This window comes from Homo sapiens, chromosome 8 (genome assembly GCF_000001405.40).
Source record: "Homo sapiens chromosome 8, GRCh38.p14 Primary Assembly".
Classification (NCBI taxonomy): domain Eukaryota; kingdom Metazoa; phylum Chordata; class Mammalia; order Primates; family Hominidae; genus Homo; species Homo sapiens.
In genome coordinates this window covers 135,266,539-135,293,932 of record NC_000008.11, presented here as the reverse complement: position 1 = coordinate 135,293,932, position 27,394 = coordinate 135,266,539, and the positions used below count along the sequence as shown (strand labels likewise).

Below are 27,394 nucleotides of genomic sequence, written 5' to 3'. Positions count from 1 at the left end.
AGGGCTTAAAAATGGAAATGAGATGAGACAATGAACACACTGTAACAACAAATGGTACCTACCATGATAGGTTAACAAATAGCGAAATCTCAGCATTTACTTCTTGTATCTTCTATGTTTGAAGCTGTAACATTGAGCACTGATGATATATATTTAACATTAGGACAATGAGATTCTAAAAGGGAATCAAAGTAATACTTAGAGCTTTAAGAATTATCTAGTCCAAACTTCACAGCAGAAGTTTCTCTTTGCAGCATTTCAGAATGATGACTATTTGGCCTCTGCTTAGACACTGCTTGAATGCGCTGTGACATTTGTTTATAAACTTATTCATTAAATATTTACTGAGCATTAACTATATGGGGAACTTGGTTCTGGAGAAATGGGGAGAAAACTAGACACAGTATTTACCATTTATAGAATTTAATCTACCTGGGAGAATAGACATAAAATGGTAACACAAATAATTGGTATATTCAAGTTGTGATAAACATTATGAAGACTAGATGTAGGATGCTATAAAAGTTGTCTTGGAAAATTGACCTGTCGCAGTTGTATTTAATCTAAGATCTACAGGATGAATAGGGACTGAGATAAAGAGGAGCAATTGGAGGACAGCATGTGTGGGATTGACCTTGTATTTTGAAAAGATCACTCTGCCTGCTATGAGAAAAATTGGCGAGAGCAAGGCAAGAATGTAAACTGGTAACTCTGCCGTTGGGATGAAAGATGCTGGTGGCTTGGGCCAAGGAGATAGCAGTAGATACAGAGAGAATCAGATCACAATAATTATCAGAAGTAGAATCAGTAGGACTGGGTGATTAGATATGGGGTGGGGGTAAGCAAAAACAGACTCAGGCATGGCCTCTGAATTTCTGGATTGGGAAAATGGAGAAATCGTGATGCTATCTACTAAAACTGAGAGCACTGGAGAAAGAGCAGATTGGGAAGAAGAGATTTGGTGCATGCAATTAATTCTGGGCATGTTGATTCAGGGGTGGTATCGGTGGATATGTTTAGTAACTGAGCTTGGGACTCGATGACTTTCACCGATATGGCAGACTATGGTCATCCTGCAAGAATGCCAGCACACAGTAGCTCTCCAGCACTGGCTGGGGGTTCAAGGATACAGCTTCAATCTCTAGGGGAACAAAGTCCTAGGGGGACTTATGTATCAGGCCAGGAACCAAAACTATAACTGAAACATTGGACCAAATGACCTAGACTGGGACTGAGTGATAAGAATGGAAGCCTAGGTCATAGGAATGCAGCAGAAGCCTAGTTATTACTGTTCTCATGTCATATCTTTCATGTTTCTTGAATCATTGAGAGTAACCAGGAGATTTTTTTTTAGAGATGGGACCTCACTGCCCAGGTACTGTAAGCATGTGCCATCACACCCAGCTAATTTTTATTTTTTACCTTTTTGTAGAGACTGAGTCTTGCTATCTTGCCCAGGCTTGTCTTAAACTCCTGGGCTCAAGTGATCACCCTGCCTTGACCTCCCAAAGTTCTGGGATTACAGGTGTGAGCCACCATACTCAGCCATAAGGAGGCTTTTTTGACTTTTGATGCCAACTAGCATTGTGGTAGAAATCAATGTAGTATCAGTCTCAGTGCTCATGTGTAAACTTCTACAAAATGTTTAAACTCCAAGCCCATTTGACCACCACAGGGAGGAATGCACCATACCAGGTGCAGCGGTTGACAGAACTTCCCACTAATGCAATATTAGGCAGGAGTGACTTTTTCTAAAGAGATGAGAGAGGTGAGCTGGGGTTGAGTTCTGTCTTTTTATCATCTCCCCAAATTCACATGGGTTTATGCTCTGGTATGTCTTCCGTTAGCCTTAATCTCCTTTCTATGGGTTCTTGATATGCCAAGGTCTAAGTCAATGACCCCTCAGAAAGGAACCTATTAGTCCATCTCTCACAGTTGCATATGACAGAATTCCATCTAAAGGTGGCTTAAGCTATTTGGTTGGTGTATGAGGATTCTCCAGAGAGACATAACCAGTAGGATATATGTACATATAAAATGGAGTTTACTGGGGAGAACCGGCTCATATGGTTACACAGGTGAAGCCCCACAGTGGGCCATCTGCAAGCCGGGGAATGAGAAAATCCAGTAGTGTGGCTTAGTCCAAGTCTGAATGCCTCAAAACAAGGGAGGCCAATAGTGCAGCCACCAATCTGACGGTGAAGACGAGAGCTCCCAAAAGGCTTCTGGAGCAAGTCCCAGAATCCAAAGACCAAAGAACCTGGAGTCTGATGTCCACAGACAGGAGGAGAAAAAGCCTCCAACTGGGGACAAAGAGGAGACTCTGCAAGCTGAATGTTCCCTTTCTTCTGGCTGCTTTGTTCTAGCCATGCCCCATGCAGGCAGCTGATTAGATGGTGCCCACCTACACTAAGGGCAGGTTTTCCTCTTTCAGTCCACTGACTCACATGTCAATCTCCTTTGGAAACACCCTCACAGACATACCCAGAACAATGCTCCACCAGCCAATGAGGCATCCCTCACTCTGCAAAGCTGGCACCTAATGTTACCCATCACACCTGGGATTAGTCATAGGCTCACCTGCACAAGCTGGGCAAATGAGAGCCAGTCCTGGGACTGAGTCAGTTGGAGAAAAAGTGCTCGGCTTCCTCCAGATTGCCAACATGATGGACCCAAGCCTGGTTTGTCCACGGGCATCTTTGCTATCACATCGGGAGGAGCCACATGACAGTGAAGAACGCGGACAAATGCAGAGACCTGGATATGGGGGTGAAGGAAAGGACAAGGAGTCCATGGAGAGAGACCCATACCTGACCACATCCTCAAAGTCCTTGATTTGACTCTTTTGGAAGTAAATCTACTCTTGGTTTTCAGTTTACATAGGCCTATGTGTTCTATTTTGGGGGTTGGAGATTTTGTCACTTGAAACTGAAAAACTCTGGCCAGTTCTGAGCATGTGACTTGATTATCCTCACTTTAGTCCTGTGAAATGCTTGTCTGATTCCAGAGGTGGGGTTGTGCTCACATGGTCACACTGATGCTTGGAGGTGCAGAGGATGTGTGACTGTGATTAGCATTCCCAACAGAATGACATGAGATGGGAGAAAGACAATGCAAGAGAAAAGGTGCTGCTCTCAGAATTCTGGCAATAAAGGAGTATTGACCAGGCACCCTTACCTAGTCAGGGCATCCTCTATCTGCAGGAATGAGGACTTCCTAAACAGTGTGCTTCCTCCCTTGAGATTGGAGCACCATGATTCTGCAGGCTTTCTAGATCAAAGGGAACACAGGATACTACCCCCAAATTAAAGATTTTCCAGGTGCCAAAAGGCCCTTTTGGGGGGATGTAAAATATGAGACAAATTATTTAGGTAGATTGGAAACATCTAAGGCAGAATTTTGTGTTAGTGCTCTGATTTCCAGAAAGAAGGACCCCAAGTATATTTGCATATCCCCATTCAAAATTCCACAACAACCTGAGCTGAGCCACAAAACCAGAGATCTGCTAGATAAATATCTGAGTTTTGCTAGAATTTCTCAGAACCCTTTTATTGGAGGCAGGATTGACTCTGCAGGCTGGTGTCTGGGCTACCTTCATGTTTAGGGTGAAGGAAGTGGTCTGGTGACCGTTGCTATGGGGAAGAGAAGAAAGGCTGGAAGCCAGGTAACATCTGGCAGAGCAAACAGGGAATCAGCATCTTACAGTCCAAAAACAGTTCATTTGATGCAATGGGGATCCCATCAGACTAATGATCTGCCCCACTGCAGTCCTTCTTTGTATATTGTTAACCATGAAGAATGCAAAAGATAATATTCATTGTAGAGAAGCCGACACTAAAGTCAAGTTCTCCAATGTGTCATGTCTCCCTTCCTTTCTGCCACTTGTCTTTTATCACATCTTACCAGAGCTATTTCTGTCTATGGGGAGTTAGCAGGAAGATCACATATTGTACAGAGAGCAGGGTGTTAAATTTATGCAAAGAAAGAAATGTGTTATGGCAAAAATTATTTATTGCATGGCGTCTCCCTTGAGGGTTAGTCTCTTGTTAGAGCTTTAAGGACAGCAGCTCTATATTTGTCACATGGCAGAGCCGCACTCCTGCCTGCCTCCCGCTGTCAGTGCCAAGAGCATTTATGTAAAGTCGTGATGCAAACTTGCCACCTTTAGGAGGCACGATCTGGTCCAACAAAGTGCCTTGCCTCATAGCCATTTGTGTTTTGAGAAGAGTGAGACTTCAGCCAGTGAGAAGGAGGAAAGGCAAGAACAGAACAGTGTTAAATATCTTGAAACTGGGCAAAACAAATTCATAGAACAGTGGGACTTTTTATTGAGCTCTGAGGATTTCAGAAGGTGGCGTGCCGTAGTGTAGCATCGAGAGTCCATCAGATCTAAGACTGAGTCCTGTTTCTGCCATTTACTCACTGTGGGTCTCAGAAAGAGTTAGCTGGCAGCTCTGAGCCTTCGTCTTCTTGACTGGAAAATGGGAGCACTGTACTCATTTGCACTGTGTTGTGAGAAGTAAGTGAAATGAAGTGTATGCTCAGTGGTAGGTGCTAAAATAATATTAGCTTTCTCCTTCTTTTTATAAAATTAAATATCGGTCCAGTGTTTCTCCAAGAAGATCTATTCTCTGGATCATAGAGGTGGCTTTCCCTAGGACAGGGATGACAAATGCTTGGTATATAGAAGCATAGCTTCCTTCTTCCTTCTTTTTATCAGACATTGCTTGTGGGATATGCCACTGGATTATGCCTCCAGATCCTCCTTAACACAGGGCTCGAGTTGGTCACTTGTAAAATATCAGTTTATATATAAAACAAAATGTTTTTTACATCTGTGATCCAGATCATGTCCATAAATTGCTCTGTTGATGACTGCACTCAGAGTGTACAGTTTTAATGTACATTAAATGCATAGAGGGCCTCCAGGTGCTCGGAGGACACTGCATTTCTGAAAGATGTGCCAACATATTCTTATTCTTGATTCAATTGTTGTATCACAGAATTTCTTCTTACTTTTGAACATTTACATCCCACAGCATATGCTCTTAAAAGGAGAAAGGCATCAACTCATCTCAGGCATCTCCTACATATCCAGGGAACAGAGCTACACAGAGAGACAGTGCCTGCTTTGGAGGTTAGGAGCTGAGCTTTATAGACAGCCTATAAAGCCGAACTTTCAGACAGCCTCTGCTGTGTGCCAGCTGTGTGACTTTGGTTAAATTAATATAGTTCGCTGAGCCTCTGTGTACCTATCTGAACACTTGTACAATGGGAATAATAACACTTATCCCCAGGACTGTTGTGAGGGTTATAAGAGATGATGCCAGTAAAGGACAAAGCATAGCCACAGACATATTCACCAGCAGTCATTATGGTTATTAATATTCACATTAACTGGAGCATATTCCAAGGAAGAAAGATCCCAAGAGGCTCAATATCATGTCATAAAAGAATAGAAAAAGAACTGAAAATGGGAGAAGCTGGGGAAAACAAGGCTGTGGAGCACATGGCAGCAGTCTTCTAATGTTTCTAACACAGAGATTTGACTATGTGATTGACTGTATGGTAGTTCTTAAATATCGGCCGTCCTGTCCTCGGAAGGCCCATACCTTCCCGTCCTCTGATAATCGCCTGGGCCGTATGACTTGTTTTGACCAAGGAAATGTGAGAGAACATAGTGATTGCCACAATTAAGCTTTGATAACCATGTGTGGTTCCTCTATCCATTTTCTCCTTGGCCACAAAACCAAGACAGAGGGTGCTTCTTCAGTATGTGTCCTGAAATAAAGATGATCAAAGAGCAGAGCTTCTACTCACCTGGAGTTGATACATACCTGAGCAAAAAAGAGAAAAGTTTGTTGTAAATCACTGAAATTTAGTGGTCATTTGTCACTGCAACATAAATTAATCAGGTTAAGACATTTTCTTTGTAATCTTACAAGGTATGATTAGTACCAATGGGTAGAAGATGAAACACGTTCCCTCAATATTTAAAAAAAAAAACTTTCAATAAAAGCTATCTAAAAGCAGAGAGGCCTACCTTAGCCAGTAGTGAATTACCTAAAAATTAAAATATTCAAACAGAGTTGAATAATTATTTGTGATATTGTACAGGGCTGTGACACACAGTCTTCCGAAAGTCAATAGTTTTTGGTATTTAGGGAGAAATGGGTTCTGGAGTCAAACAGATGTCTTTGTTCCAGACATATCAGAAAGTTTAATATACTAATATTTCCTATGCCTCTACAAAAAGATACACCATATATAGTTGTTTTCCAAATTTATTTGATCAGAGAACTCTCCCCACTCCTACTTTTCACCACCCTCAAAAGAACATCTTATGGGACAAATTTAACAACAACAACTACAAAACCACACATTTAGAAAATGTTGGCTCAGCAGCTTCATGATTGTAATTGGATTTGAGCCAGATAGAAAATGACTCTTGTTACAAAACTAAGGGTGCTATGAGTTAGTCACAATTTGAGCTCTCAAGGAAGATACCGAAGATTTGCTTGCACTTCAGGAATGCTGGTTAAAATTCAAAACTTTGCATTCACATTGAGTCTATATGAATCAGACTCCACTGCTTATTAGTTATTTTGCCTTGAAAAGATTCATCTAACCCTTCTTACTCAGGGCTTATGTTCTAAGAACTTACATCTTATTCACTCTGGAAAGTTCATAGTTGTGTTAGTAAATATCACCTTTACTTGATCTCTTTATTTTCTACTTCTACAAATCCTACCAGTGAAACAATGGATTTTCTTATCCTATGCACTAGATTTCCTTATGCTTCCTTCGTATGTTTCATGTCTTGATTCTCTGTGTGGCATTCTTCAGACTGACCTTCAAGTTCTTGTATTATCTCTTCAGCTGTGTCTAGTCTGACAGTCAATCAGTCCATTGGATATGGAATTTCAGGAACAGTTTTTAATATCTAGTCATTTAACTTCCCAATCTTTCAAAGTAATCTGGTCTTTTAAAAATATCTAATTGTCCCCTACAGTTTACTTGTTTAATAATTTTTAAAAGTTATTATTTTATCATCCCTTTGGACAGTTATATTGTCTCAACTTCTTGGGAGCATTGGTTCACCTAATGATTGTGATCATTAAAACTCCCTGTGCTGAGTCACTTCCTCATATGTTTTGTACATTTTTATTGTTAATACATATTTAGTAAGAGCTAATTTTTCTGCTTTGTGGGACATTCATGCATTTTGGAGAGTAAATTTGTGTTTTTGAGCACTTTGTTTTGGCTCCAAAGGTACCATAAACCAGAAATTATTTTTTATATTAATTTGGTAGGTTGAGATTTCTGAACTATTCACACTGTGTAGTTCAGTTTCCAAACCCAATTGCAATGAATGGTTAGGGTTTTTATTTTCCATAGAATCCTGGATGGAGAGAAGCGTTGTTTTTTTGTTTTTTTTTTTTTTTTAATAAATATCCAAGGTTGGTGGTTAGAGTTTTCCTAAGTCTACTCTCTTTAAAATTGTTTATTTTTCTTTTTTTAAATTGATTTAATTCTTCTTCTTCTTATTATTATTATTAAGGCAAAGTCACACCCTGTTCCCCAGGCTGGAGTGCAGTGGCTCAATTGTAGCTCACTGCAGCCTCAAACTCCTAGGCTCAAGTGATCCTCCTGACTCAGCTGTCCGAGTAGCTGAGACTACAGGTGTGTACCACTATGCCTGGTAAATTTTTTAAATTTTTTGTAGAAAAGGGGTCTCACTATGTTGCCCAAGCTGGTCTCGAACTCCTGGGCTCATGTGATCCTTCCACCTCACCCTCCTGAAGGGCTGGGATTATAGGCATGAGCCACCACACCCAGCTTCTAATTCTATGTTCACCAAGAATTCAGGCTTGTTTTTATGTTTGTTTGTTTTTTTTTTGTTGTTGTTTTTTACAGTTCCAGCTTTATGCAGTCTGGGTTCCAACTTTCCTCCTATCATAGACTTCAGACAATATCTTCTATGTCAACATGAGATTGAAATCTAGGCCCAAAAACATTTGGGCATTTTTCTGAGTCCAATACTACTCCCTACCCTTCAGTGGCCACACTAAGATTTTATATTTAACACTTGAACTTTCAATTCCTTCTTTGTTTCTGGTACTTGCTGATTTTCTTTACTTGAAAACCAAGCTATGTGTATGCGTTTTTTGTCTTTTAAATTATAACATTTTATCCAACATTTCTATTTGTATGTTGTATGTAGTAGCAGGAAGGGTTCTGGATTATTTCAGACTGCCAAGTAGCCACCACTAGAACAATGTTTATATATATATATACACAAACAGTTGTATATATATATAATATATGTTTATATATATGTACATCTCTATATATGTGTGTATATACATGTATATATGCCTGTATGTGTTTATATATGTGTGTGTGTGCATATATGTGTATATCAGTCTTATCCTCTATAAAATTGATATAATAACTTCTACTTCATTGGTCAGTGCGGAGATAAATAGTGGATCTTATGCATTCAACATAAGGGCAAGTATACATTAAGTGCTCAATAAATGTTAGACATTATTGTTTTTATTGAAATAATATATAAGCACTTAGAAAAATAATTATGTTGAAGATCCTAGAAAGGGACAAAATGGGTCTGTCCCTTCAGCTAACAAATCTGGACTTTTTACAAAAGGACAGTGACCTCCTGCAAAAAGTCATTCAAGGAGCTTAAAATTGCCCATTTGTCCTGGGCAACAAGGCTCCAGAGTTTCAAATCAGAGGGAAGTAGAACAAAGTTCACTTCATGACCTCTTGGGGATGCCCGCAGGCTTAGAGCTCTCCTAAGGTGGACAACCAAGGCCTTTCCTTGACCTTTGTCTCAGGATCTCACTCTTTTTTTTTTCTTCTTTGAGGTGGAGTTTTGCTCTTTTTTGCCCAGGCTGGAGTGCAATGGCATGATCTTGGCTCACTGCAACCTCTACCTTTTGGGTTCAAGTGATTCTCCTGCCTCAGCCTCTCAACTAACTGGAATTACAGGCACATGCCACCACACCTGGATAATTTTGTATTTTTAGTAGAGATGGGGTTTCACCATGTTGGCCAGGCTGGTCTCAAACTCCTGACCTCAGGTGATCTGCCCACCTCAGCCTCCCAAAGTGCTGAGATTACAGGTGTGAGCCACCATGCCCAGCCAGGATCTCACTCATTTAATGAGGATGGGGAAACTTTAGGGTCCAGTGCCATGTTGGCTCCTCCCACCACACCACAGAGGACTTGACCAACTTCTTTGGAAAAGGAATGTACATAGTAATGATGATTGGGGTAACAAGAATAGCTCACATTCATTGAGTCTTTCCTATGTGCCAAGCTGTGTTCTAACACCTTTCCACACATTATCTCCTTCACTCCTAATAAGGAATCTGAGTTAGGGACCATTATTACCATGCCTGTTTACAGTTAAGAAAGCTAATTATAGTGTTGAAGTATTAGAAAGGGTGATAAATGAAAGAATTGGTTTAGCCTTTGTAGCTTAATAATGGCTGCAATATTGGTGGTGTGCAATGAAGAGAAATAGGAATCAATAATGTCAATGGGCAAGGATTAATCCCAAAGTTGTGTGTTAGTCCAGGCAGCATGGTGGAGGAAAAGAAAAGTGAATTAACCTTAACTGAGCACTTTCTGTGAATAAAACATGTTGCATACAAGCTGTCCACTTATAATGCATTATTTAATTTTATCTCCTTAACAATTCTATGAGGTAGGGTTTGCCATACCCTTTCACAGGTGGGTGAGTTGGGAGCACATATAGGTAACTTGCCCCTGATTACCATTCAGTGGATAGTACCCACGTGGGCATCCTGAGTCAAGTCTACAAAACCTGTCCTCCCTCCAGCCCCAAGACCTTTAAGCCTGTGAAGGGGTGGGGCATGCACTGACATCTGTTAACTCAGGGAGGAACTTAAATGCCCAAGAAAAGAATATGTGATACTCTCAGTTGTCTATCAGAAAAGGGGAGACTTGAAGAATTTGATGCTTAATAACTCTGTTAGTCATAATCAAATATAGAAAAAATATGGTGGCTGGAGGAGTAAAAGGAAGCTAAGGTAGATGGTAAGGGACTGATGTTTTCTATTATAGGCTCTGAAGTGGTAAAGGTGAGTGAACTTTCCTTTCTAAGAGCATAAAAGCTAAACCCTCAGCTCGGGGGTTGGATGCTCTGTTTCCCAAAATCCCATTTCCTTTGTGGTTCTGGTTTAGAGTTAACCAAGAGGGGGACTTGCTGGTTGGAAGGAAAGCAGGGTTTCAACTCTCAGAAGGTAGCTGTGGTAATAAAAGGCCATGAACAGGCACAGAGAAGGCCATTAGGCACCACTTGTTCATAATCCACTGCATCCGGCTCACCCTCCTAGCTCCTGACCACAACTCAGACACTTGGCTGCAACTCCATAGACAGCAGTTCCACAAATGCTACTGCTACCCAGAGACAGCAGCTCCCAGAGACCCATCCTGAGCGCTCCTTCATGGTTTTACTTTAGGCGCCTGACATGCTTCTGAATTTGGGTTTTTCTGCCAGCTCTAACCTGTCCACCTTGCTGGAGTTTCAGTGACTGTTGCTGTCATTCTTCAACTCCCTGCTTCTATACATCACTTCCCAGTGCCTCCCACATGTGTGTAAGGAGCAACACCTATACTAAATCCCTTATTTCCTAATACTTGCAGTGGCTCTACTTCCCAACCAAACCCTGGGAAGAATACCTGGCCCTCTAAGTCCCACACAAGAAGGACTCAACCTGCCTCTACAGCCTCACTCTGAGCCATTTTCCCCTTACTCACAGTATTCCACTCTCCCTGGAACATGCCAAGTTCTTTGCCAATTTAGTCATTCATGCTGATGTTCTCCTTTTCTGAACATTCTTTGGGATTTTTCCTGGAGAGTAAGAAAATGTCAGGATGAAGAAAAGAGTTTAATGCTTCACTTCATCCTTCAGATTTCAGCCTAACTGCCCCATCCTCATGGAAGTCCTTCTTAACCACCCTGTCTAAAAAAGTTTCTCCTATTTCCTATCAAAACACTATTTCTTTCCTACACTGAAGTCCATTTATAAATCATTCTATTTATGTGTGCCAGTTTCTATGCACCAGAATGTGAAATCCATGTAGACATGTGTTGTTCAGTCTTGTGCTACTGACTAGCACAGCGTCTGACATAGATAAGATCTCTCAGTAAATATTTGTTGAGTAAATGAATAAATGAGTAGGCCCAGGCCACTGAACAAGCTTCTAGAGTCACGTCTTTTTGCTGTTGTCTTGGTTGTGAGGATGGAGGTGATACTGACGGTGGAACAATTGGGTAGAATTGGCTCAGAATGCTCCTCTCTGTTCTACCTTGGAGGTTTTATAGGCTCAGCTCTTCAAACAGAAAAAAGTTTTAATATAAAGGTCAAGATTTAAAAGGAAGGAGCTGAATCACACTAGATGATAGAGGCAAGATGAATTGGAAGGACCTAGTAACATCTGTCAGAGGTGAGAAAGGATCCAGGGAGACTGGGTGTAGTGGAAGGAAATTGGAGAGGGAAAAAACTCCCAGAGATTCTGTGAAGGAGATGGGAATTAGAAAAGAGAAATGTCTAACATGGGATGTATATTTCTTCTTAATTTTGCTGAGGGTTGTGCTATGTACATTTTTTTCCATTTTGTGATTGTCAATTAATCCACATTGCTCACTAATGCTTTGGTACAAGTGGATTCTTTAGGGATAATGGAACAGCTGTTGAAGTCTGCAGCCAGGTGGGTAATGAGATAAACTCAGACACAGTACATGTGGGCAGTGGATTTGAAGGATGACAAATGGTTTACACTCCATAATGCTACGTACTAGGGATAAGTTTGGAGAAATCTCACACTGAGAGGCACAGAGACTTCTACTCTAACTTATACCAAAGAAAGCCAATTACTGAAAGCTTCCTAATGTTTTCCCAGTCTAAGCATCCTAGTTACTTTGTATCTCCAAACCAGAAGTAGCCTGGGATGTGAGAGTAAGCAGATCCCAATGGCAGGAGTAAGAACCAAGAACTCCTCTTCCTTACCAAAGTTATGGGTGCCCACAACGTGATGTTCCCAAAAAGACTAATATTTCAGGGAAAGTAAAAATTAAAGCTTTGCAAATAATATGTATTCTTAGAATCCAGTTGCATGTAAAAGGCTTAGTCTAGATTCCTGGCTGATGAAAGAACATCTGGAGAGAATGAGATTTGGTAGAGATGAAGCAAGGCTTTCAACTGCATGTGAGTGAGGCCACCTTGGATCCTGTAACCCAGTGGTGCTGCCTGAGCTGATACCATGTGAAACACAAATGAACCATCCCTGCTGAGCCCAGCCTGAACTCCTGAGCCACGGAAGAAGCATGAGCAAAAACAAGTTGCTGTTTTAAGCAACTAAAGTAAACAAACAAAATTACATAATAATACAACAAATGTTGTAAGGCCATACTTTCTTTTTTCCCTAAGCATCTTTTGCTGTTCTGAGTTCCTTCACATGAACTTGTTGTGCCATCATTTGCCTCTTGCTCTTTGATAGGAGAGCTCTGAAAAGCTTACTGAAAATTGAGCATTCTGTTCAACTGGGGCCCAGTTAAGAGTTCATAGGTTCCTCCTAATAAGGAGCTTGAGGAAATTGAAATAACAAAAGACCAACTCTGGAGAGTTGACTAGATTATGGAATTGGCTTCTGGTTAGGATCCCTCTCCTCTTTCCTCCAGAGGATAATTAGCACTCAAAGTTGTGAAGTGTCCTTCACACAAGGTTACCATGCAAGAACATTCCTCAAGACACCACAGAGGAGGTGGTCTCCAAGGAAGTCCAATTAAAAACATTTTTGGTTGTAAAAGCAGTCGGGATTTAGTCATTAAGATGCCCGCCAGCACCTATGACTTTGTCTTTCTAATGGATTTTTTATCAGGAAGATTGCTCACAGCATCAAGGACTTCAGGTTATGAGTGGCTTTCAGGTGCAAATACTTTGAAATGATGGTTCATGCACATTCTGGGTAGAAATTTTAAGCCATTATTTAAACTATTTACACATTTGAAGGCAACCTGTGAAGGTGGTACTAACGTAGTGAGAAGACGCTAGAATGGCCAAAATTCTTTGACCTAAAAAAGCCTGGTTTTCATAGAATTAAAAAGCATGTTTACCACAGAAAGAATTTTTGACATTATTGATCCAAAAATGCCCAGGTGATCTCTGGTAGGTTTTCAAACACAATGTTGAGGAGGGTTCTGAGGCAGAATCTGTGTTTAGTAGAAGAGAGTGCTTTGACCCAATGACAATTCCCATCTTTGCTATAAGAGCACAAATGTTGGAATCTATTCTATGCATGTACCATATTCTATCTTGTACCAATCCTTTAATTTTACAAGTGGGGAAACTGAAGCCCAGTGTGTGGAAAAGACTTGCCAAATATCACTTGAAGAATTAGTGGGAGGGCCAGGTCCTGCCTAAAGGACCCTCCTTGATTTGTTTTGCACTATTTTCCCATTCATATTTGGCATGGGGCTCAGATTTGGGAACTTACAGATGCCCATTACTCTGAGATTGATTTCCTTGGCTTTAATTGACAGCATGTTTTAAGGACCTGGGTTCAGATTGCTCAAGTCCTGGAACTCCGAGAAGACAGCCTATTCTATCTCCAATCTTGGGTAACATCTTTCTTTGTCAGAGCTTCTCTCAGGTTTTTGAAAAGGGAATTCTCTATTTGAGACTTTTTTCCTTCACCTTCAGACTTGATTGATTTCGGAGTCAATCTTTATAATTTCCAGATGAGTACAAGTGCATAAGTGCATATGGTCAGACTCATCTCTAGATGAATTTCATATGTCACCTGTAGGATTCAAACAGGCTCAAAGACTTGGAAATATTGCAGGTAGAACTGTTTTATTTCAAGTGCTCTGTTTCTTTTCCTTTGGAAGATGGACTCAACTACTGATTGTCCCACATGAAGGGACCGGACTGAAAAAGTAAGTGTCTGATTTGTTAGCATCTGATTTCTCAGGGACTCCAGGCAGCATTTGGAGAAGGAAATATTCTTACAGTTTTTCTAGTCTAACCTCTAAACAACCAAGCAGATCCAATTGACATTCTACCTCTGGGCTATTGACTCACACTCAACCTTTGGGGACCTGCTTCTCATTACAGATAGAAATACTCTTTCTGAGTAGAGAACACCCTCAAGCTCTGACCCCACAACCTTCCTTGGGAAAAGATAATCTCCCCTTTCTCTAAACTCCTTCAGCTTGCCTGGTCTCTTACACTTATTTAAACTCTTGCAACATAATGTTTTTCAGTTCTAATGCACACATTAGAGATAGATAGATAGATAGATAGATAGATAGATAGATAGATAGATAGAGAAAGAGAGAAGAGTTTGTAGAGGTGTAGCTCTATACAGAGCATTGAAGTTATAAACTTCATGGAGTAAAGTATCCCCAGTCATTCTCTCCTTCATTACTCTTATTTGAAGCATTTGTAGCACTGGTTTTTGTAGGCATTGTGACAGAGACTATTAAAACAGTGCCTGCTACAGAGAGTGAACAATACACAGCAGCAGGTCTACGCCAAGTAATGCCAGCAGAGCTCATCTGGGTAGGGACAGAGACACATGTGCTTACTTTCCTTGTTGCTACATGTGGGAGGAATCTTAGCGTCAACATCTAGACTGACTCAAGACAACTCTGCTAACAAGAAACTGAGGCACAGGTGTTCTGTTACCTGCCCCAAGTCACACACCTGTGATAAAGACAGAACCAGATCCAGTTTGTCTGACTTTCCGCCAGAGAGCTCATTCTACCTGTCCACCATCTTGACCTTCTTCTTAGGACTGGAATTTCATTACTGTGCACTGAGGGGTGAACCACAGTCGATCATTTAAAATGAATAGTTAATCATTAAGATCATACAACAGCAGGGTTGATGTTAATGTAGAATTACTAACTGTATTAGTGATTAAGATAAGAATATGAGTTAAATATTTATGGTGATGAAAAATGATTATAGTAATGAGTGGATGGCTGATATCAGCAGACAGAACTGTATTCCCCAAAGTGTCCCACCAGAGCTTTCGTAGTAAAGGGGTTCTGTGGTCAAATACATTTGGGAAATATTCCAAGTCCCTCTTGGTAATTCATAACAGTCATGAACTTATTAAAAGCTGTGAGAAATTCTGCAGCAAACAATCTATTTTTTCTGTATTTTTATTTAGATAACCCCCTCCCAGACCATCTTGGGGTGTATCACTTGTTAAAACTCAGTGAATGTGTTTGTAAAACAAACTTTGTAACAAATAATAGACAACAAGTTGTGAGCCCACACTAAATATATATGCCAAAATAATCCAGGGCTTTCAGGGACTCTGCAGCTGTGTGTTTTAAACTATGTTCATGAGGTCCTAAAGAGAATATCACTGAGGGAGAGGGGAAGAGTGAGCAGCCTGGGCGGTCAGCCCTTTCATCTGCTTCATCCACAAAGGTGTAGCTTTTCTCTGCTTTGGACATTCATCTATGTCTTCAGCAAATGTTTACTGAACATCCGCCATGTGCCAGCCCTGTTCAAGGCACGTGGGATAAATCAGCTTTATGTAGAACAGGGAAGAGAAACAATAGAAAATAAACAGGATAAATAAGAAAATTGCATTGTATGTTCACAGATGATAAGCGCTGCAAAAAAGGAGAGATAAAGAAACAGAATAAGGGGGACTATGAGGGCCAGAGGAAGGACAGAGTGGCTGCCATTTAAGTAGGGATTGATGAAATCTTATTAGAAGGTGATGCCTGCACAGAGGATTGGAGGAGGTGAGAGAATTAGCCCTGCTCACATCTGAGAGAAGAACTTCCTTGGCGGACAGAGCAGCCAGTGCAAAGGCCACAAGGCAAGGCAGAGTATTGAGGAGAGATGTATCAGAGAGGCCAGAGGGGCCAGCTTTCAGGGTAAGAGCATGTTTATACTTTGATGGGAGATCGGGAGCATCGAAAAAAAATGAGGATGTAGAAGACAACAGGGATGGCTTATTTATTGCAACAGGAGATGTATCAGTCAGAATCTAACCAGCAAAACAGAAATTATTTATTTTTCATAGAGGGAATTTAATGTGGGCATTTAATTACACAACTGTTGGAAGAATTGAGGAAAACAGGACTGTGATGAACAACAGCAAAAGCCACTCCCAACCCCAGGCTGGAGGGATGAAGGGGACAGGCAGCGTAATGGGGAATGGGCTGGGATTGCCTTGCAAAACCAGAAGCACAGAGGGTCTTTCTGGAAACAGCTTGAACCAGAAGAGCAGCAGCTTCGCCAGAAACACACCTTGAGGCTCCTCTCTCCCTTTAGCCTGTCAGTCTCCTTCCAGAGGCTCCCACTGGCCAAACTCTGCCTGGTGAAACAACGCCTGCAGGGCCAAGCCCTTCTCCGATGGTGCATAATGGTTATTCCAGTTATCTCTGGCTGTGTAACAAACTACCCCACAATCCTGTGGCTTAAAACCTGTTGCCAGTGAGGCTGTGGATAAAAGGGAATGCTCATACACTGCTGATGGGAATGTAAATTAGTTCAGCCACTGTGGAAAGCAGTGTGGTGATATCTCAAAGAACTTAAAAGAGAACTACCATTTGACACAGCAATCCCATTACTGGGGATATACTCCCAAAATAAAAATCATTCTACAATAAAGACATATGCACACATGTGTTCATATCAGCACTGTTCACAATAGCAAAGACATGGAATCAACATAGATGTCCACCAGTGGTGGACTGAATAAAGAAAATGTGGTCCACATTACACCATGGGATACTATATAGCCATTAAAAAGATGAGATCATGGTCTTTGGAGCAATGTAGTTGGAGCTGGAAGCCATTATCCTAAGTGAACTAATGCAGGAACAGAAAACTAAATACTGCATGTCCTCACTTACAAGTGGGAGCTAAACATTGAGTACAGATGACACAGAAAAGGAAACAATAGACACCGGAGCCTATTTGAAGGTGGAGGGAAGGAGGAAGGTGAGGATCAAAAAACTACCTACTGGGTATTATCCTTATTACCTGAGTGATGAAATAATATGTACCACAAACCCCTGTGGTGTGCAATTTATCTATAGAACCAACCTGCCCATGTACCCCTGAAACTAAAAGTAAAAAAAAATAAAAGCTATAAAAACATAAAACCTGCTGTGTCTGCTCATTATTCTACTACTAGGGTAGGGCTTCATTACCACTGCTTGTTGGTGCCTCAGCAGGCCTCAGCTAGGATGGCTCACAGGGCCCCCTGGAGGAGCCAGCTCGGAGGCAGCTCACTCATGTGGCTGGTGGATTGCTGCTGAATGTTGGCTGGGAGCTCAGCTAGCACTGTTGGTCTGGCGACCTTGGTTCTCCTTGTCACTGAGTTCCTGGATTTTCCTCCATGAGGCCCCTCCCAGTGGCTAGCTTGAACTTTCTCACAGCATGGAGTTCTCAGGGTAGATAGACTTTCACATGGCAGTTGGATTCCAACATGGTGAAAACAAAAATGCCAGGTCTTCTTAAGTCTCATTTCTATAATTTGCATGGTATATCATCCACTGCAATCTATAGGCTAAAGTGAGCCAAGGGCCAGCCCAGATTCAGAGGGAGAGTATGATTCACTAGGAAGCCACCAAAGTAACATTTAGCACACAAGAGAGGGGCAAGGAAGGAAGGGACTTGATGTCAAACAAACAGTTTTAGGGCCGGGAACATCTATTCCTTTTGCTCCTTTACATTCATTTCTATCAGTTTGCAGCCATCAGATGATAGCTTTGTTCTCTCGTGTTAGGTGGAAACATGATCTGTTATTAAAAAGAGAATATTCTCCCCTTCTCCCCAGCAAGGGGAGACACAAAGTTCCATCGTCACCACATCCTTCTCAAGACCAGGATCTCCCCCAGGTCTGGATCAGACTCTTCCTGGTCTGGGACCTAGGAACTAAGTTGTAAAGTTAGGCAACATCCACTGTCTTCAACAAAATAGTAGGGGAATTAAAAAGAAAAGCATATCCATTGCTTGTTATACATAAAACAAAGATATGCAGAGCTACTCAGGCGTCTGTCTGAGGTTATGGTTGATACTTGTAATTTCTTTTTTCAGCTCAACCATTCTTGCCCTCAATCAGCATTTTGGTTTTTATTTGTTTTGTTCTTTTATTTTCTGGGAGTAGGGGATTATGTCTGAGTCTTCAGCAAGCCTTCCTTTATTCGGTTGCTATAGTTTTGCATTGACTTTTACTGTTAGATATGAAAGTTCTAAGAGATGCCCCAGTGAATCCCCTGGTAAAAGGCATAACCCTCCCCTCTCCAATTTTGTAACAAACACCCAAAGTCCCCTTGGTAATCAGGATCACTATGGGCTCACTATATTCATCCAGTATAGTGAGCCCCTTCTTGGCCTGTTGGTTTAGTGGAAAGAGGAGACCCAACTAACCTAGAGCACTGTGAACTTCCAGGTTAAACTAACCAGTGTTTTGTCCCCTGGGAGAAGTGTCCTCTCCTGGGAATAAAGAATTCTAGACCAGCAGAGACCAAGGTTGGGCGGACATGACAAAAAGACCCGGTAAGCAGGTCATATAATTACTAGCGAGAGGGCCCATTCCCAACTCCATCACTCCATCCTGTGATTCTTAGACTGATGTTTTCTGACTATAGTCAAAATAGGATCAATTATTTGTCACTGGATGGAAGCAAATACCTCATCTCTGGGAGAATTACAAAGATGAATGCCATCGATGATGACTTGATAAAACAGGGAGGAGGGGATAATTTATATCACAACTCCTCATATTTTTACCTGATTTAAGAAGCAGGATCTTCCTCGAGAATAACTTCAGGTTATCATAAACTTAATCATATGCCTTAGTAAGACACTTTTATGAGACCTTCAGAGGATAAACCTCACTTCTATTTCCAAGAATTGAATCATTCAGGGATTAAGCAAGAAAGGGGGTGAGTTTATATATTTGCAACAGCAGGAATTTTTAAACCACTTTTGGAAGGTATGGTTGACACACAAAAACTATAGATATTTAATGTATGCAACTTGATGTGCTTGGAGATGAGTACGCAACCATGCAGCTGTCACCACAACACCACCATAAACTTATCCATCACCTCCAGACATTTCCTCCATGCCTCTTTGTTTTGTTTGTTTTTCCCTTTTGTGGTAAGAACACAATATAAGATCTACCCGCTTAGCAAATTTCTAACTGTACAATACAGTGTTGTCAATCATATGCCTGATGTTGTGAAGTAGATCTCTAGAACTTATTTATCTTGCATGGCTGATGCAGGGAATTATTTACACAGGTGGTGGGTGAGGTGAGAAGACAAACAAGTGATCTGAGGTAACTCAGAGATGAGAAGAAGCCATTGCTACCCCCAGACTTGGGGATTGAGGGCAGAAATGCTGGATGCCCTGGGCTAGGGCGACTCCGGAGCCATTAGAGCCACTGGGAGATGGAGCAGTGTGGGCTGGAGCACAGGAAGTTCAGGGAAAAGCTGGATCCACCTGACTTCTCACTTCCCCTGCCCTTCCACCTCTTGCCTTTGCCTCCCTTTGGCTAGATGTACCAGGAAGCCAGCCAAGGTGGGACCCTGAAAAGCAGTCTGCAGGGATGGCCCCGTCTGTGTAGAGAACATCACAGCAGAATGGCAAAAACAGAATGTGAGGAGTGACGGGTCCAGGAGCAGCTCCGGTGGGAAGGCAGACTGGTGGGTGCAGGTGCCCATGTGTGGGTGGGTAAGGTTGCAGTGACAGTTGAGGCAGCTGGGATATGAACTGGGGTGTGGGCTGGGGTGCCGGGGTGTGGCAAGAGATGCATGGAAGCTTTTGTTTTTTCTCTAACCTCACTATTCTGAGTGAAGTAGGGAGCAATGCTGTCCACTGGGAACCAAGAGTGGGGCGAAAGTGCTGGGGCTTGTCGGGCAAAAAGGCGAGTCTGGTTGCCTAGGAGAAGGGAAATGAAAAGTCCGGAAGTTTAGGGCAGTTACCCAGCAGCAGTGAAAAGCCACCTGAGGTGCTAAGGTTTGAGGTCATAGATTTCAATGAGACCAGTCAATGTGGCTGTGGGTTTGTCTCCCGCCAGACCACACTGGGTGCTGGGGAGGAATAGAATGGCAGCTGAATTTTACTAGAGTTAGAGTTTTTCCAAGTGAATACAATTGGGGGGGGGGGGGGAGAGAGAGAGAGAGAGAGAGAGAGAGAGAGAGAAAAGGAGACTTAAAATTATGCAAAAGGGATTATAGTGATTGTGGAATTTCCCTGGGGAAAGGAGGGAGGAGAGGACATTAATCGGGTGGGGAATGGCTTTAAACACAAGAGTTCCTATTGCCAGAGCACCGCTGCGGTTGGGGCACAGGTAGGAATGAACCGGACGGTGGTCAGATGCCAGAATGCATGACATTAAGATCATGGGGGAGTGAAGTTCTACAGGATGATGGTGGGTGCGAGAGGCTGAGGTCAGGTATAGGACAAGATCAGAGGAACAGCATTTGGAGGAGAGGCTTTGGGGCTCAAAGGCAATTTCCAAAACCACCTCTGTTAGATGTATTTTGTTTCTGTCCCCCATTTCAGTCACCACAACCTGGGTTTAGTTTGTTGGAATGAAACTGACCGTGCTCTCAGGGCACAAGTGTCAGGTGGAGCTGCTTCCAGACTCAGGGAACAGGAGATTTGGACCACGTTGCATACCTGGCTTTCCCCAGCCTCTCTGAACCCTCCACTTCCTCAGGGCCTTTCATGTTCAAGCTGAGTCCTGCTCAGGTCCTTCGAGGCACTCAGCCCTTCTCTCAAGGTGCCCTCTCGCACCTCCATCCTCTAGGAAGGCAGCACCCCATCGGAGCTTCTCCTGGGAGCAAGTAGCCATCCACAGGCAGGTCCACAGGTGGGACCACAGGCAGCTTCTGGCCCTGTGCATGGTGAAGGGAGAGTACACATCTTGAAGGGACCCTGCTGAGGCTGGATGATGACTGTGAAATCAACAAGAGCTGGGCTTTCCTTGATGGGTGTCAAGAAATAGGAACAAAAAAAGGTGACATGAAAATTTCCAGACCTTAGGTTTCCACAAAGGCGTGGTTCTTGAATTCTGTAGTTACTGGATATTGGGTTTCTATTGCAATGCAAGCACATCTAGTGTCTCCTCCTGCCTTGCTTTTAAAGTCAGCAATACTTTACAGGATCTTTTTCTGGTGATAAAGCGCAGTTTTGTAAAAAATAAATATCAGATGTCTTCTGCATAGCAGTTACTGTTCTGTGCACTGTGGCCCTGCATGAGGCCAACTTCTGCCCTGCTCTCAGGACTTTTAAATTCAGATGTGGGTAGGAGGGGATGAGAATGAAATACAATAAGCAAGTATGCAAATAAATATACAAGAAAAGTTTAGTAAGTGCTATGAACACAATTAGACAAAAATAGATTAGAGACGGCTAAGTCTGGGCCTGGTGTCACCATGCAGGCTGGGAAAGCCTCTCTAAACACCCCATCTGAGACCTAAAGAGAAGAAAGAGCCAGGTGAAGACTCAGGGGAACTGCAATGCAGGCAAAAGGAGCAACAAAGTCAAAAACCACCAGAAGGCAATAAACATGGCATGTCCGAGGAAGAGAAAACCAGGCAAGTGACTGTTGCTGAGTGAGCAAGTGATGAGCTCTGGAGTAAGTTGGCCAGGCCATCAACAAGACCTTGTCAGACAAAGTGAGGGTTGATGCTTCATTTGGTCAGCAGCAGGGTTTAGAGCTAACCAGGGGTGCAGGAGGAGGCATGAGGGGACTCAGGCTCATTTCCTTGGGTCTTCCAGATTCTGAGCCTCATTTCTTTACTTTCTGTCTTGCTTAGTAACATGATAGAATGAATCAGCTTCTCTACCAAGTAATTACTGCACTTTGAGTTTTGAATCTCAAAGAGGTGAGCTCAGGGCTCAGGGGGCTATGGGGACAAACTAGCATTCTACTGCATTTCCCTGCATAGCGGATGTGCATGGTAAAGTGGTCTGTTAGCAAGTACTTCCATAAAAATAATAAAAAATACCCAAATCCATTTTTTTTTTTTGAGACGGAGTCTCACTCTGTCACCTAGGCTGGAGTGCAGTGGCGCGATCTCGGCTCACTGCAAGCTCCACCTCCCAGGTTCACGCCATTCTCCTGCCTCAGCCTCCCGAGTAGCTGGGACTACAAGTGCCCGCCACCACGTCTGGCTAATTTTTTGTATTTTTAGTAAAGACAGGGTTTCACCGTGTTAGCCAAGATGGTCTCGATCTCCTGAGTCGTGATCCACCCGCCTCGGCCTCCCAAAGTGCTGGGATTACAGGCATGAGCCACCGCGCCCGGCCTACCCAACTCCATTTTTACAAACCAGTGCAGTTCACAAAATGTTTTACCATTAATTCCTGCACCTGACCTTCATGTGATCCCTCCAAGTGGGGTAAACATGCATTTTATTCCTCTCTGACCTTGAATAAGTCATGGGCCTTCTCTGGGCTTCCATTCCGTCAATTGTAATTTGAGAATTATAGCCCAGTTGCAAAATTATCTATATAGTATCTGGTATACAGTAGGAACTCAATAAATATTTGTTGACTCAAAATCTCTTAAAATTGAAGTATTCTCTGACTCCAAACCTTGGTATCACTAGTGTGTGATTATAGTATACATTTATTAATTCTGACATTTCCTTTTCTCAATAATAAAAAATATAAATGGATTACGTGTTTGCCGTTTCCTCCAATTTTCTAAGTCAAACTTCATAATTTGGACAGAGTTTGAAGGAGATTTGCAACTCCAAGGAGCAGGGTAACATTTGCAGTATGTGAAACTAATTGCCTTTGGTTTGCTTTGCCTTTTCTTGCTCTGAAAACTGGCCTCTGTTTGTTTAGAAGATCTTTGCTAACATCAAAATTGCTTGCATTTTCCTGGGGCTGGGTGACCAAACCTCTCTAGAGCTTTGAAATGACAAGCTGACAAGCTCCCCTGGGACTTCCACCCAGAATGTACTGCCCAAAATTTGACATGACCATGACTCTGAGCAGGTAGATTGTGTGTTACTTCAGCGTTGCTTGTTAGCAGCTCAGCAGGCCCAGCATGGGAGAAACCAGTGCTTCCCTGGGATCTCACAGAGTCACCCCAGCCTGCAGAGCCCAGGGACCCCGAGCCTGCAAACATGGGCCCATGCCTTCATCCACCACAAGCGACCAGCCTCCACATCAATTATATTCTACACGTAAAAGGATTTTACATCCCTTCTGTCCTTCCCAGCTCCGGGACTTTGCCTCATAACTAAAGAGGAACATCCCAAGAGCCCCTGACTTCCTAATTTCTCTTTACCCCTCACCATCACCCAACTAAGTCATCCTTTTCTTGCCATCAAAGGGATTTTTCAAAAACATAAATTGGCTGCTCCTGGCTCCTGCCTACCATCAAGATAGAGTTTACCCTCTGTCACGATGGGCCCCTGTCCACCCCTCCAACCTTCTCTTTTCCCAGTCCCTGGTGCTCTCTAAAGTAGATATTGTGGTCTGTTTGTCTAGTTGTCTTTCTCCCTTCTTCTGAAAAATATCCAAATTCTTTTCAGAGGACCACCCTCCCCCACTCTCAATCGCTGTGATTTAGGTGATACCAACTCTGTTTGTGCCTTCAGAGCAGTCAGATGACCCAGTCCTGGCCAACTGAATAGTGCATCCCTCTGACTGCAGAGATTGGTTCAGAAATGTCAAAGTGCACAAACCAGAGCCAATTAGAGCTCATTCTACAAACTCTGCCAGTGAAGTTGAGTCTTATCTTGAACCTAAGAAAATCTGATGAGTGCAGCTAGAAGCCACAACATGGAGAGACAGTGCTTGAAAGCGAGACCAGCGGGAAAGAAAGAAGAGCCACAGACAGAGGCAGATTCTTGCAGCTCTGTTTGTGAACCTGGACCAACTTATCCCCAAGCTTGTCAACTGCATGGGCCAAAACATTACTTCCCTCTGCTCTCGGTGTCATTGGAGCTGGGTCTCTCTCACTTGCACCAGAATGAGTCATAACTCTCTTCTTATGTTTCAGTGCTACTGAGTTCTGGCAACCCCCTGTGGGCTTCATGCTCATCCATGCCTTTGTCATGCCCATTTCCTGCACAAATAAAGCCCTTACAAAGATTATTCTCAGGTGTCTCTCAAGCATCACCTGTGTAAGTTCAGTAGGCATTTTATATGTATTTGTTAAAGTTATGAATGCACGAGCAAATGATCTTGTGAATGAGTGATATTTTCAGAATGCAGGACTGCCTTAGCAGTCCTATACCTGAGAAGAGATGGCTTGATTGTCTTGCCCAACTATCACTTGGGGTGTGTGTTAATAGAAGTAATATCACACTATCGAGTGAAAGTTTTCTGTTATCCTGGAACTGGGTACTAGAACTCAATGCTGAGGCGGGGGGGCGGGGAATGGGGGGCGCGCGGTGGATGGAGAGAGAGAGAGAGAGAGAACAGTCTATCTATAGAAAACCAAAAATAATGGCAAGGTCAATGAGGAGACAATGCCTCCAACAATTATTGAGACACAGCTGAGCTGGCTGTGCTTCATCCCCTGTCCTCCCATCCCCTCTCCAGCCGATAGAAATAGAAGACTAGCACATCAAGGGAATTTTCCCAGGGAAGCATAGTTGGAATTCAGTGTACATAGCAAGAGATGAGTCTCCGAGTCCCAAAGCCAAAAGAAAGCAACTCCATGAGAATCTCTCATGGAAGTTACAGGTGACTGGCCAATCAAAATAGTGCATCCTAGGTATCACATTCCAAGGTTGGATCTCAGCTTTTGTAGTCACCTGCTGATTTGCTTGGGCAAGTAGCGGATTAGTTTGCTGAGGTGCCAAATGACTCCTACATCTCAGCAGCTCACAACAATAGACAATTTCTAGCTCACATTACAATTGGCTGCTGGTTGGCAGTGGCTTTAATCTAATGCACATCAGTGGTAGCTCTACTTCACATGTCTCCTCCTGCCAGAAGCTTGCAGATGCAGCTCCCCACTCCTTACACGCAATTCCTCATGACAGGGAAGCAAAGAGAGTTGTTGAAAATGCATATCTGAAGCTCCTTTTTGGAAGAAGCAGAGGCCAGTGACAGCCAAGCAAGGGGCTTGGCAGCACTGGTTAGAGGCTGTCTTAGCTCAGGCTGCCATAACAAAATACCATAGATGAGGTGGCTTCAACAACAGACACTTATTTTCTCACAGCTCTGAAGGCTGGAATGCCCAAGACCAGAATTCAGCAGCGTTCAGTTCCAAGTACAGGCTCTCTTCCTGGATTGTAGATGGCTGTTTTCTCGCTGTGTCCTCGCATAGCTTTTTCTTAGCATGTGTATGTGTGTGGCGAGAGAGACAGACAGAGAGAGAGAGAGAGAAAAAGCACTTTGGTCTCTCTTCCTTTTTTATAAGAACACTAATCCCATCATCCTCTGAAGGCTCCACCTCCACAGACCATCTCTGTGGGAGTTAGGGCTTCAAGGAGTACACCAAAAATTGGCCCATTATAGAGGTGTTTTCCTCTCCTCCATCCCTTTTCTATGACAGGAGGGGACACAGAAGAGAAAAGAGAAGAGGAATAAAAGTGCACACCCTCCAGCTTCCTCACACCAAGGCCCTAAGGTACACAAAAGCTTGGAGCTGCAGGTCAGGGAAGAAGCGAGGGTAGCATTTGGAAGGAGATTGGCAGCTTCAATTGGACTAGCCAGCCTGGACTTTATTCCTGATGTGGCAGGAGAGTGATGGAGTCTTCCTAGGATGCCGCCAAGGGGCAAGATGGGGAATTCAACAAAGCACAAGTCTAGGCAGTGATTGGAGAAAAATAAGTCTGTTTTAGTTCTTTGTCTAGGTTAGAATATTCTCAGACTAAAAATGATAAAGCACCTTCACGTGCTTCACTGCTCACGAAGTACGTCCACATGTATGGTCTGCCCTGAGCTGCATGTGTATACAATGTGTTAGGCAGTTTGTTTCTTTTTATTGCTGAGAATGACTGCATTGCTTATGCACTTATGCATATGGTACACAAACTATGCACCATAGTTTGTTTATTCATTCACTAGTTGAAGTACATTTGACTTATTTTTAGTTTTTGGTAATTATGGATAAAACTGCCATAAATATTTGTGTACAGCTTTTCTGTAAACATGCATCTTTCTTTTTCTTGGGTAAATAGGAATAGGATTGCTGGGTCGTATTGTAAGTGAAGTTTAATTTATAAAAAATTGCCAAACTGTTTTCCAAAATGCTTGCTATTTTGCATTCCACAAGCAATGCATAAAATTTTCAGTTGCTTTGTATCCTTGCTAGTCCTTGATATTATCATTTTGAGCCATTCCAATAGGTGCGTATAGTATCAATTTCATTTCCATACACAAAATATCTGTGCAAATTTATTTATAAGGGCAGCAATTTTAAGAACAGAGAAAAGAAGGAGAAAGAATTTCATTTGGCAATAATTTAGAGGAAAATCAGAAATAAAGCTTATTCCCTCTAATGGAAAAACACTTTAGTAATTGACTAATGAAGACTTATTATGCCTATATATTTTGAAGTGTGCTTGGGTCAGACAGAGGTTTACAGACTGGATGATTACTTAAATTTATTTAAGAAATGTTTACTTTTTTTTCCTGACCCTTATGGAGATACCAAAATAAGTAGATATTTGGTGTTTTCCCTGAAGAGTTCCCAGTCAAATGGAGAAGACGGTCATTCCTACAGATGTTCCTACCCAGCATGCCAACAGCCAGGACACAGGTGCGTAACAAGGTTCAGGGTAAATAGAGGGGAAATAGCACTTAAGCTTTCCTGGATGAGTAAGAAAATGTTTCATAGAAGAGCTAGAACTTGAGATGAGACTCGATGAATAAATAGAAATTTTTCTGAAGGACAAGAAATAGATGGGTGCTACAGGCAGAAGAAATAGCACACAGAGGCATCAAGAGATGAGAGAGGCTAGAATTCTTGGGTGGTGCAGGCAGTTCGGGCTTTCTGGAGCCTGAAGTTCGAAGATAGCAAACATAGAAGATGAGAAAGGGAAGGAAATCAGAAACAAGTAACAAATATCCTTTAATCACATGCTGCATAGCTTGGATTTTAACATGAAGTTGAAGAGAACCACAAGAAGGGGCATGGTACAGCCAGATATTCATTCCTTTTAGAAAGATCATTCCAGCATTACAATGAAAAGTTGGTTGGAGATGAGAAAAGAGTAGATGCTAAAAGACCACCTATCAATCTACTGGAACTGTTATAGGTGAGAGAGAATGGGGGGCTGACATGAGGCTGGCATTAAGACCAGAAGGAAAAGCATGAATTCAAGAGAACTTTGGGAAATAGGATTACCCCAACCTTGATGAGTAATTCAGTG

At 42.4% G+C, this 27,394-nt stretch overlaps 1 long non-coding RNA gene across 3 annotated transcripts in view; it reads right to left on the bottom strand.

Moving 5' to 3' along the window:
- LINC01591 (long intergenic non-protein coding RNA 1591) overlaps positions 1-27,394 on the bottom strand; it is a 65,589-nt gene that overhangs the window by 5,787 nt on the left and 32,408 nt on the right. Inside the window, exons 2-4 of one of the 3 annotated variants that reach the window (NR_026706.2) lie at positions 5,821-5,837; positions 2,581-2,757; positions 63-175 (exon numbers count right to left, since the gene is read on the bottom strand). This is a non-coding gene — a long non-coding RNA (long intergenic non-protein coding RNA 1591). The remainder of the gene's footprint in view (positions 1-62; positions 176-2,580; positions 2,758-5,820; positions 5,838-27,394) is intronic. The other 2 variants (NR_120395.1, NR_120396.1) reach the window with 2 other exon arrangements.